We start from the raw sequence: 12,629 nt of genomic DNA, 5'->3' as shown, positions 1-12,629 counted from the left end.
GTTTTTTCCATGTCTAGCCTCAGATTTTGAATTTCTGATTTAGATTATTTTTTCAAATCTTCATTTACTTGTGAGACTATCTCATTCCATTTATAGTTTTGACTTGGAGTTTTCTTCTGCTTCATGGTTATTAGTCTGAGGGAAAATTTCCTCAGTTAATATGTGTTGAATTTTGTTTTCAGATTTCTTTCAAAAGCTCATTTTGAATCTGTTAATCTTCTCTTGTCTATTTTTTTATGTGTGGTATTACAGTGTTTTACAAGATTTTTAATTTAATGATACTCCTGTCTCACAGTATTTCAAAACTCGAAAACTTCAATGGTTTTGTTTGTTTGCTTTTATGATAGGCAATGGGATTGTGAATTATCTAGTTTTGTGTTCCCCTTTTGTCTTGCGGGATTCAAAAATGTCCTCTTTCATTTAATTCACTATCCCATTGGCCAGAGGTGCCTTCTTTATGGTTTCTTTCTCCTCCAAAGAAGCTTTGTGTTTTAAATTCTGCTTCTTTAAGTTGTGAAACTCTTAAATATCTTTTCTGTGGCTCATGCTCTGTCTTACCTGGACATTATTTTAGTATTTTTAGAAAAGAGTGGACTTAGTTTTTCTGGCAGAGATTTTAGACCTTATGCCTCATTGTTTATTTCTTTATCTCTTTTCTGTAGGTTTTCTAGGTCTGTGTTTTCTTTCCAGAAATGTCTTGCGGTGGGGTTGGAGTGGGACAACTGTGTAAAAGACCACACACTAAAACATCTTACAGCTATTAAGAATGTAGGCATTCTCTGTATGCTAATTAGGTTTAGAAGTAGTTTTTTTCCATAACTTAATTTGTTCCTCTTATTTTCTATCTTATTAATATATAGAAAATGTTGGAATGAAATACTGAAAGACAAGAATATAGGGAAAAGCTACCATTGTCTTTGTGCATACTTATGATTTTTAACTTAGCAATATATTTATATTTAAAACGTGGCTTTTAGGCCACATGCAGTGGCACTCACCTGTAATCTCAGCACTCTGGGAAGCCGAGGCCAGCAGATCACTTGAGGTCAGGAGTTCTAGACCAGCCTGGCCAACATGGTGAAACCCCATCTCTACTAAAAATACAAAAATTAGCTGGGCATGGTGGTGGGTGCCTGTAATCCCAGCTATTCAAGAGGCTGAGGCAGGAGAATCACTTGAACCAGGAGGCAGAAGTTGCAGTGAACTGAGATCGTATCACTGCACTCCAGCCTGGGTGACAGAGAGAGACTTCATCTCAAAAACAAAAAATAAAATAAAATAAAATGTGGTTTTTATAGACAGACTATAGTTAGGTCTTGCTTTTTTAACACATTATGACAATCTCTATATTTTTATTGATTTTTATATTTTATTGATCATTTACATTTAATATAATTATTAATATGGCAGGGTTAAAATCTATTATATTGTTTGTTCTTCTATACTTGTATTGTATATTCTTTATTCACGTTTTTCTTTTTACTGCCTGCTTTTGTATTAATTGAACGTTTGTTATGATGCCATTTTATTTTTACTACTGTCTTATTAATAATACTTCATTGTTAAAACAGTTGCATTAAGGTTTACAATTTATATCTTGGTTTTATCACAATCTATCTTTTAATATGAATAATGTTAGAACTTTACAACTGTATCCTTTCAATTCTTGCCTCAAATTCATTGTACTACTATTATGCATTTTATTTTGCCTATAAATATCACAATACACTATTATTATTTTTGTTTTAAATATTTATTTATAGTTTAGAGACACTGAAAATTAGGGAAAATGTTTATATTCATTTTTACCATTTCTAGAGCTCTTTATTTTTGTGGTAAATTCAAGTTTGCATCTGGTCTCATAATCCTTTTGCCTGAAAAACTTCCTTGATCATACCTTGTAGCATTGGTCCATTGGCAATAAATGCACGTACCTGTTGGTTTTTTTCTGAAAAACAAATCTTCATTGAGACTTTACTCTTGAAAGATATTTTCACTGTGAATAAATTTCTAGGATTACTTTTTCTGATACTTTAAAGATGTCACTTCATTGCTTTTCTGAATTGTGCAGTTTTTGACAATAACTCTTCTACGATTCTTATCTTTCATTCTCCCTGTGTAGTGTTTCTTTTTCCCTAGCTGCCTTTAGTGATTCTGCTTTATCTTTGCTTTTCAGCTGTTTCAGCTGTTGTAAATCAAGCATTGTGAAAAATTACAAAGTACTCTTTGCAGATAAGTTTCTACATAATATTTACCCTAAAATACATGTAAGTATTTGAAATAACTTAATTTCTAGTAAGTATACTAAGTCTCTGAGAATAAAATTGGTTACTTTAATTTAAAAATAATATGAAGATTTTCATAGCTATGGTAGCATTTTACTTAACAATATTAAGAATGAAGTATCCCTTTAGAGTTTAGGATATTTTTTAATTTGTCTCTGCTCAAAGATACAAGCTAATAACAGATTGTACCTTATACTAAAACACTCTGATAATAAGAAATGATTTTGGATATTCTAGAAGGGCATGTATGCAAAAGAGATTTAAAAAGAACTAAATCATATATTGAGAACAAAAAAATATAAAATTTTCACTAGAAAGTATTCATTTTATTACCACATGACTACTCTTTGTAGAATGATTTATAACATGCTAGAAAAACAATACTTATATCATTATCTCTAACCTCATATTTCAGAGTTGCAGATAGTGTAGGTGTGATTTCAGGGTCTTACAATATCCTGATATCTAGTTTTCTTTTTTTTATTAACTTCTCTAGCACAACTGAATCTACATTAAGTGGGAACAAAGTTTTCCTTTCCACAAAGAGGTAAAAATAATTTTTAAGTCCTAAATTTTAAGAGAGGAAACACAATTGAACACCCATTCTAATATATGCTCTTGTAAAATTTGTTGACAAATTGAGGGTTTATGTTGTGATTTCTTTTTAAATTAAGGATACAATGTAGTACTGGGCACCTGAAATTAAGATAGCGAAATAAAGATCAGAACAGGTTACAAAAGAGTAATGAGTGGGAAGACAGGGAGGACCCTCAGAAAAGCTGAACTACAAAGAATTTTGCTTGGCAGTTTTAGTTTTTGGTATCACTAAAAAAGACTGTGGAAATTAGAGATGTATTTATTTCACTGATAACCTCAAACCTAATTTTATATATGAAAATAAAGTTTTTCTACATTTAACTGAGGAAAACCATATGCCTTCTAAAATACAATTTTATAAAAGGCTATATGTATTTGCTAGAGCTATTGTATCACAAATACTACAAACTGAGTGGTTTACACAACAGATATGCATTATTTTACAGTTCTGAAGACTAGAAATGTGAGATCAAGAAGTCAGAAGGCTTGGCTCCTTCTGAGGGCTTCTGGTGGTAGGCTGGCAATCTTTAGCATCCCCAATCTCTGTCTATCTTCACATGGCACTTTCCCTATGTGCTTTTCTGTGTCCAAATCGTCCCGTTTTTTGTAAGAATAGTGGTCGTATTGAATTAGGACCACATCTTACTAGTATACCCTCATCCAAACTTAACTAATTACATCTGCAAAAACCCTATTTCCAAATAAGTTTAGATTCTGAGATATTGGGATTAGAGCTGAAATATATGAACCTATAACAAAACTATTTCCATTTCACATTTAGAGCAGTTTTGTTGAAGTTTTACCAAATATATTACTTGCAGGATGATTGCTAACTGATGGATGTAAATTTGTTTTTACATCCATCAGCAGTTTTAGTTCTTTATTAATGAGAAATTAAACTTGGGAGTACACTCTGTTATTTTTTAGTTTGAAAATATTTAAATTCTAAAATTAAGGGATCAACTTGATTCATAAACCTTATAATAATGTGTTGATTTGCACTCATGATTTTGGAAATACGGAGATAAGGTTTAAGGTTTAGCTTTACCTGGAATATATTCTCATCAAAGACATACATCACACCCAACCAGGCATCCTGAATTAAAAATAAGTATTAAGTACATATAACTAATGTTTAATTGTAATATAAATATTACTTTAACATAAATATCAAATAAACCATAGTACATGGAATTAAATTGAATTAACATTAACTTTTGATAAATTGTTATTTGAATGAATACTAGTTAAATAATACATACTATAAATCAATATTATTGAGAAATTTTTATTATATTCTACATTGCCTATAAGTATCTGGAAAGGGGACCTGAGAATCAATAGGATTAGCTGGGTTTTCACCAAATAATGGGTGAAAAATGTACATAGAAATGTCCAAATTGCATTTTCATGTCAAGGAAGAGTGAAGTTGTATCATGTAAAGGTCTGTTCTGTCTTGGTACTCTGTAATATACATTTATCCAGGCCACTGTTTCTTATGTAAGTAAAAAGTCAGGATGCTAATTATTCACCTTACATTCTCCTATCTCAAAAGTGACATAAGTGTGGAATGGTTAGTTATGAAGTGCCTCCCCTCTAAAAGTGGTTGGTTATATACATGGGTTCACCGTGTTGCTCAGGCTGGAGTGCAATGGTGCTATCTGGACTCACTGCAACCTCCACCTCCCAGGTTCAAGCTATTCTCCTGCTTCAGCCTCCCCAGTAGCTGGGATTACAGCCGCCCACCACCACGCCAAGCTAATTTTTGTATTTTTAGTAGAGATGGGGTTTCACCATGTTCGACCAGGCTGGTCTCGAACTCATGACCTCAGGTGATCCACCTGCCTTGGCCTCCCAAAGTGCTGGGATTACAGGCGTGAGCCACCATGCCAGGCAAATATTTAAAATATTGATTTCCACTGAGGCTTCCAGTGGACAGTGAGCTCAGATCATGGCTTGACACACCTGAGCAAGGCCAGAGGAGCAGGAGGACTGAATTTGACAAATATCTAAACACATTCTAATTGAGGCCTTCCAAAGGGACGCTTATCCTGATATTACTGTCATAGAATAACTGGCCAGAAAACACAGATTCCCAAGCCATGAATCCAGGTTTGGTTTCAGAACCAGAGAGCTCGGATACCAAAGAGAAGCCAGGGAAGCCCCAGTGTGGAGGCAGCCTGGGCGCAGGCCCCGATCCCACTCCCCGGTCAGCCCGGGTTGCTGGCCCCTGACTACTCCTGCCAGCACAGATTCCCAGGGGTTCAGAGCAATGTGGGCAACTTCTCCTGGGAACCAGAGGAGGCTTGGGGCCAAGTTCTCCTCTGAGGGCACGCTGGCGTCCCGGGCCCAAATGCCCCGGCCACCACCACCTTGACCTGGAGATGGTAGCCAGTGTGCCAGGCCAGCCTTACGCAAACGTCTCTTTCCGCCCTTCAGCTCAGCGCTGCTTCCAGGTCCCGCTTGCCACCAGCCCTTTCCACAGCTAGAAGCTGTCAGTGCTGGGCCTCAAGTTCCTCCCAGGGCACCTGGCCTGCTCCCAGCATGGGGCAGGCCCCTGTGGGGACCTAGGCTGCGGCCTGTCACCGCAGAGCTGCAGCCATTGTGGGTCTGGCAGCCAGGGAAGGCGCCCGGGTAGGGTGCGCGGGGACCTGAAAGCAGCCCTCTCCGCCACCGCCCCAGCAGCTTTGGCCGCATCCCACCTCTCGGGCCGCTTTCCTGGCCGCTGCGCAGCCGTTGTGCAGGGCCCTGCTAAGCGCTAGGAGCATTTTCCTTCTCTTCCTCTCTAACCCAACCAGCTCGGGAGGCCCCGGAGCACCTGCTGCAGGATCTGCACCTCTGGGGGAGCTGCAAGGCAAACCCGTGGAAATCACCTTAGTCTGTGTCCTGCGCTCATCTGTAGTGTTCACATTATGAAAATTGAAGAGGAATATCAAGATTTGTATACTTTATAGTGGAAGGGCCTCCAGACACACTTTCCAGGGAAATGAAGTTGTCAGAATGGAAGGGCCTCAGGGTGCACAGGACTTTGGGGTTTTTCTTAGATGGGAGAAAAAAGGATTCGGGTGTCCTTCTGTTTATTAACCAAATAAACATGGCGCGTTTACAATGTACAAAGGCTGCTAGAGAGAGGGGCTTGGCAGGATGAGGACTGTTTCGTAGAAATGTATTATTTTGTAATCAGTAAACCACAATCAGTTCTATTCTAGCCATTTCTGTGTCCCCATAACGGATTCTTCTCTTTTCTGTGCATAGTGATGACTTCCCCCAGCCTGGCTTTTGTGCTGCTCCCTGATCCGACCTTGCATCTCCAGCTTTATCCAGCCTTCTTTTCCCTGTGTCCAGCCAAATGGGGTTCTTTATGGAAGCTGAACCTGCACCTGTCCCTAGGCATTTTCCTGAAACAATCCCCTCCTTGCAACTCACCTTGTAGGGGCCTAGCAGCAAACTCCACAGTAAAATTCCTACCCAGCCTACGTCTTTCTCCCATGCTGGATGCTTCCTGCCTTCGAAAGAAAGAAATTCATGTCTTCTGTCTAAGAGTTCACAGGGTCTAGCACATAGTGTTTCTCCCCACTCCAACATTTGCCCAGCCATGCTAAAAGAAAGAAAGAAGGAGGATGGAGGAAGGGGGCACGCCAGCACAGAGGTGATTCACTCAAGGAGGGAAGGCGGACAGTGATCCCTCATGGTCCCAGAAATAAACACCCCTCTCATTTTGGGGGGATACTATACCTTTGGGGTTACTGAATAAGTATGTGGTGTAAGTTAGAGATGAAATTAGGGAGACAAATGGCTCAGCACAGTCTAAAACCAGAAGCCAAGTGCAGTGCTGCTTGTCCACAGAAGTGCTTGCCTGGTGGTTAATACTGAGTGTCAACAACTGGACTGAAGGACACAAAAAATTGATTCTAGGTGTGTCTGTGAGGGTGTTGCCAAAAGAGATTAACATTTGAGTCAGTGGGCTGGGGAAGGCAGATCCACCCTTAATCTGGTGGGCTCAATCTAATCAGCTGCCAGCAAATATAAAGCAGGCAGAAAATGTGAAAAGGAGAGACGGGCCTAGCTATTCAGCCTACATCTTTCTCCTGTGCTGGTTGCTTCCTGCCTTCAAACATCGGACTCCAAGTTTTCAGTCTGGGGACTTGGACTGGCTCTCTTTGCTCCTCAGGTTGCAGAGAGCCTATTGTGGGACCTTGTGATTGTGTAAATTAATACTTAATAAACTCCCCACCATTTTTTTTTTTTTTGAGGGGGAGTCTCGCTCTGTCGCCCAGGCTGGAGTGCAGTGGTGCAATGTCAGTTCACTGCAACCTCCGCCTCCCGGATTCAAGTGATTCACCTGCCTCAGCCTCCCAAGTAGCTGGGATTACAGGTGCGCTCCATCACGCCCAGCTAATTTTTGTATTTTTTTCTTTAGTAGAGTCGGGGTTTCACCATGTTTGCCAGGCTGGTTTTGAACTCCTGACCTCGTGATCTACCCACCTCAGCCTCCCAAAGTGCTGGGATTACTGCGCCCAGCCTTTGTTCGTTTGTTTGTTTGTTTTGTTTTGTTTTGTTTTTTAGACTGAGTTTCACTCTTGTTGCCCAGGCTGGAGTGCAGTGGCATGATCTCAGCTCACCACAACCTCTGCCTCCTGGGTTCAAGCGAGTCTCAGCCTCCCGAGTAGCTGGGATTACAGGCATGAGCCACCACACCTGGATAATTTTGTATTTTTAGTAGAGACGGGCTTTCTCCATGAGGTCAGATCACCTGACATCAGGTGATCTGCCCGCCTTGGCCTCCCAAAATGCTGGGATTATAGGTGTGACCACCATGCCCGGCCAAACTCCTGTACATATATATATATATATATATATAGTTCTGTTCCTCTAAGAGAACCCTGACTAATATAGTTTGTCACATGTTTCATCCTCTGCATCACCTTATCAATCTGGGAAGTTAGGAAAGAGCCGACACATTTAGAAATTGAGCATGTGACTGTGGAGCATGTAACTGACATGGTAATGAGCATGTAGTCTATCTGTTCTCCCCAATTGTCTGATGCAAGGATTGGTAGTGGGGTGGGGGTGGAGATGGGCTCCTGGTTCTCATGCCCTGGCCACACAGCCTGAAGTCCAACACCAGACTACATCAGTGCTTCAGGCTCTGATGCCAAAAGCCTCCAGCGTTCATCAGTAGAATTCTTTGGGGCCTACAACTGCAGTTCCTGCACACCCATTGCCACTTACCTTCCTAAAATGACAGTCTAAACTGAAGAGGGCTATAGGATTTTCCAACAACCTGTGAGCTCCTGGAAGGCAAAGTCCCACAGTACAGTGTACCGTGGTCACTGTGAGGGATCTATTGAGTGAGGGGAGGTTCTGGACATCCCATTGCCAATGCCAGAAGAAGGTATGAGAACAGAGCTGCCCGGCAGCGGGAGTGGGCAGTAGTCCTCTGTTGGCTTGCTCTTCCATGGCCCTTGTGAGTTTTAACAGCCCCTTGAACCCTCCTCTTCACTTCTCAGGCCTCTTCTGGACTGTCTCTGGCCTAGGCACCTGACCTGAGAAAGACCCTTGCAGGCTCTTCCCTACATGGGACTGGGTTTCCATTCTGGTTCCCACACTTTCTTGAGGTAGGGACCTGGGCAACCTTTCTTCTCTCATGGATCCTGGTTTCTTAACTACAAGGTGGCCTGTGAGTGCCCAGGCCAGTCAGGGAGCAATAAAATAAAGAAATACATAAACAGAGAAAAACATAAAAATAAAAACTATAGAAAAGAGCCAACTCTGCTGTTAATGTAGGGAAGATAGGAAAAACAGAACTAGAAAGGCAAATGACAAGCTGGAAAAAAAAAATTAGAACATTTACAATGGCAGATAAATTAGTAAGTTCACATAATGATTGTTAAACAAAAATCCTGAGAAGCAATTGTTTTAGTCTGAGCTCCTGAACTGGACCTCAGCAGACCAAACTAAACTGATATGGAGTCACTCAGGCTTAATGCCAAATAATCAAACTGGAAAAGCAGATAGACCCCCAAGATACCAATTTTTCTTTGAAAACAGGATATTCCGGTCGACATGAGTCAGCATAATATGGAAGATTCCTCTGCTTTAGTTCTTACAAAAAACTAACCTGAAGTAACCTTACTTGATGTTAACAAGTCAGTTTTTTAAAATGTATTTATTTATTTATTTATTTATTTTTTTGTGGAGAAGGCGTCTTGCTCTGTTGCCCAGGCTAGAGTGCAGTGGCACCATCTGGGCTCACTGCAACCTCCGCCTCCCAGATTGAAGCAATTCTCTGCCTCAGCCTCCCAAGTAGCTGGGACTACAGGCACATGCCGCCACATCTGGCTAATTTTTTGTATTTTCATAGAGACGGGGTTTCACCGTGTTGCCCGGGCTGGTCTCACTCCTGAACTCAGGAAATCCACCCGCTTCGGCCTCCCAAAGTGCTAGGATTACAGGCGTGAGCCACTGCACCAGGACAGCTTTTTCTTTCTGTTGTTCTTCCCTGTTCCCACCTTACAGAACCCACTGTTCTGCCATTGCCCAGTGGGAACTCTCATTCTACTTTGTAGAATGGAGCCTGCACCAATTCATGAATTTCAAATAAAAGTCAACTAAATTTGTTGAAAAATAAAATAAAATATTATTAAATTATGGGAAGATAATAATCTATCACTAAAGGGAACTTTCCAAAACTTTAGCCTTCAAAATCTCCAAAATAGTCTATCAAATATCTTTATTACAGAAAAAAATAGCATTTATGCAAGAAACAATAGATTTTGTATGGGTAATAAGTTCGGATCTAATGCAACAAATTTTGGAAATTTACATTACTCATTATTGTTTAGCATTCTCCATCTTTGAAATGGCAAATTTCATGTGAATATCAAAATATATTAACAGCTTCGTAGACCATTTTCATCTATTTTTCCACAAAAGCTATTGAGATAACTGTAATACACAAAGAAATACTGTTCAAGGTTAAGGAGAAAAACTGTGGGACAAGGATAAAACCTTTGTGTCACCAAGTTATATGGCTGATAGCAGCTGGAAAACTACTGTGCAGACCTTCTCAAACTGGCATCTCAGAAAACTTTTGTGTATGACTAACTGCCTTGATAAACTGCAATTACACTTATAGCAAAAGGTCCTGGAGAGGAAAGGTACTGACCCAGAGAAAATGAAAAAATCCCAAGGCATTCTTTGAAGGCCATTTGTGGCCAAACTTAAATAATTACAATGTGAGCCCAGCTCCTTTAACCATATAGCTCTTGAATTCATTTGTGAAGCAACAAGTGCATACTGTAGGCTAACACTTTTTTAGTAAGAGTATAGCAAACAATGCAGTAAAAGTAAAATCAAACTGTAATACAGAAATATTACACTACTGCAAATTGCAAGGTCAGCTAGATAATGCTAAAGAGCTACTTTTCTTTTGTGATAAAGGAGTTTATTGGTAGTCATTTAAACATTTAAATTAGTGTTTATTTTTATCAAAGTTACACAGGTACATAGTCTCCAGAGTCAAATCGATATGTAAGGCTTATCGTAAGAAACCATTTTCTGAATTACTTCATCTCTGTTTCCCAATCTTGAAACAACAAAATTCAATCATTTTAGGTGATACTTCAATATATAATTCTGATAACCTTTTATATATCTATATGTACTTATTTTATTATAACAGTAAATATTGGTTTTCTGCATCAGAGGCAAACCTATTATTTACTTACAGAATATTTTGCTTTCTTTCTTCACACCCCATTATTCACACACCAGGTGAAAAGAAGATGGAGAATGTCACTTGCACATCCAGGAGATCTGTGTTACAGTAGAGGACCCCTGAAATTATGAAAACGGGATATTATATAGGAGCTGTCACGTTCATTCCTCCTCTTCTCCAGAAAGAGAGAGAGAGCACAAGAGCATGCCTTTTTGGCAGGTGCAGGAAAAGATCTCTACTCTCAAATATAAGCATTAGGCTCTGGGGGAGACAAGAAAGGTTTTGTTACCCTGTTACCCTTTGAGTGGCAGCAGATGGCTTCACAGTGAAGCAGACAAGTAGTTAGGGTGTAAAGAGCAAATGGAGAAGGCAGGGAAAAAAAGGACATTATCTTTATCCATGTCAATTTCCATTGTTCAGAAAGCCTTGACCATGCAGAAATATGAAAATATTCCTGATGTATTCAACATTTCTAAATGATATATTTATGTTGTTACTTCTTAACTTTAAAATTTTTAGTCATTGTCTATTGACACCTCATTCTTTCACCCCCCACCCCTAATTGCATACTCAATGTATCATAATTTTTAGCTCAGTATTCAAAATGTATATCATTATTGCCTTGTAAGTGATATTCACTAATGAGGCATGTAAGAAACTATGACAATTTCTCATTATTGCTTAATAAATTTTTTCCTCAGAGTTAATAATTTTCTTTTTTCCTTATTACTTAGTATTCTATTTACTAATCACTAACTCATGCCCACACTCTCCCCTCAGTTGTGTGTGACTTCACTTATTATGTTAAAAAGTCAAGATAGTCCAACCATTTCAATTTGAAGTACTATTTTGAAGAATTATGACTTGCTTCTGTCACAGATGGCAGCTTGGTGGGCCTGAACCTATGGGCCTATAGCAGCCACCCTTGCTGTCTCACCTCATACTCTCTCCATCTCTGATTTCAGCTGTTGCTGGGGTAGAAAGTGCCCTGAGATCTCAGACTAATGCCATCATCCCACCTCAAGTTTTCTTGGTAGGGCTTTCTACTCTCTGCCTCACCTACTCCAGAATGAGGCCCAGAAGTAAGGAAGAGTTAACAATTCAGTGTTAATATTGAACAATGGGGAAGGTGGCCACTGGATTAATATTTCAGCCTCCTCTCTTACAAGGGAACAATTCTTGGGGTCATTACAGATGCTTCTCACAGAGGTGCTCTGTAATTGAACCATGTTTGCTTACAATGTGAGACCAATAAAGGTATTCTTTTTAAAATTTTTTTATTTATTTCAATAGGTTTTTGGGGAACAGGTGGTGTTTGGTTACCTGAATAAGTTATTTAGTGGCGATTTCTGAGATTTTGGTGCACCCATCACCTGAGCAGTAAACACTGTGCCCAATGTGTAGTCTTTTAACCCACAACCCCTTCCCACCCTTTCCCCCGAGTCCCCAAAGTCCATTGTATCATTCTTATGCTTTTGTGTCCTCATAGTATAGTTCTCACTTATGAGTGAGAACATACAATATTTGGTTTTCCATTCCTGAGTTACTTCACTTGGAGTAATGGTCTCCAATTCCATCCAGGTTGATGTGAATGACATTATTTTGTTCCTTTTTATGGCTGAGCAGTATTCCATGGTAAATATATACACCACATTTTCTTTATCCACTTGTTGATTGATGGACATTTGGGCTGGTTCCATATTTTTGCAATTGCAAATTGTGTTGCTATAAACATGCATAAGCAAGTGTTTTTTTTCATATAATGATTTCTTTTCCTCTGGGTAGATACCCAGGAGTGGGATTGCTGGATCAAATGGTCTTTAGCTCTTTAAAGAATCTCCACACTGTTTTCTATGGTGATTGTTTATATTCCCACCATTAGTGTAAAAGTGTTCCCTTTTCACACCCATAATCCCAACACTTTGGGAGGCCAAGGCCGGTGGATCACGAGGTCAGGGCATCGAGACCATCTTGGCCAACATGGTGAAACCCCGTCTCTACAAATAATACAAAAATTAGCTGAGTGT

At 39.6% G+C, this 12,629-nt stretch overlaps 1 long non-coding RNA gene across 1 annotated transcript in view; it reads right to left on the bottom strand.

The window, feature by feature from the left end:
• LOC107986816 (uncharacterized) overlaps positions 1-10,989 on the bottom strand; it is a 63,027-nt gene extending 52,038 nt beyond the window's left edge. The window contains exon 1 of the long non-coding RNA XR_001745261.2: positions 10,613-10,989. This is a non-coding gene — a long non-coding RNA (uncharacterized LOC107986816). The remainder of the gene's footprint in view (positions 1-10,612) is intronic.
• Between the last annotated feature and the right edge of the window lie 1,640 nt (positions 10,990-12,629).

Source organism: Homo sapiens, chromosome 7 (assembly GCF_000001405.40).
Source record: "Homo sapiens chromosome 7, GRCh38.p14 Primary Assembly".
Lineage (NCBI taxonomy): Eukaryota > Metazoa > Chordata > Mammalia > Primates > Hominidae > Homo > Homo sapiens.
This window is presented reverse-complemented; position numbering and strand designations above follow the sequence as displayed.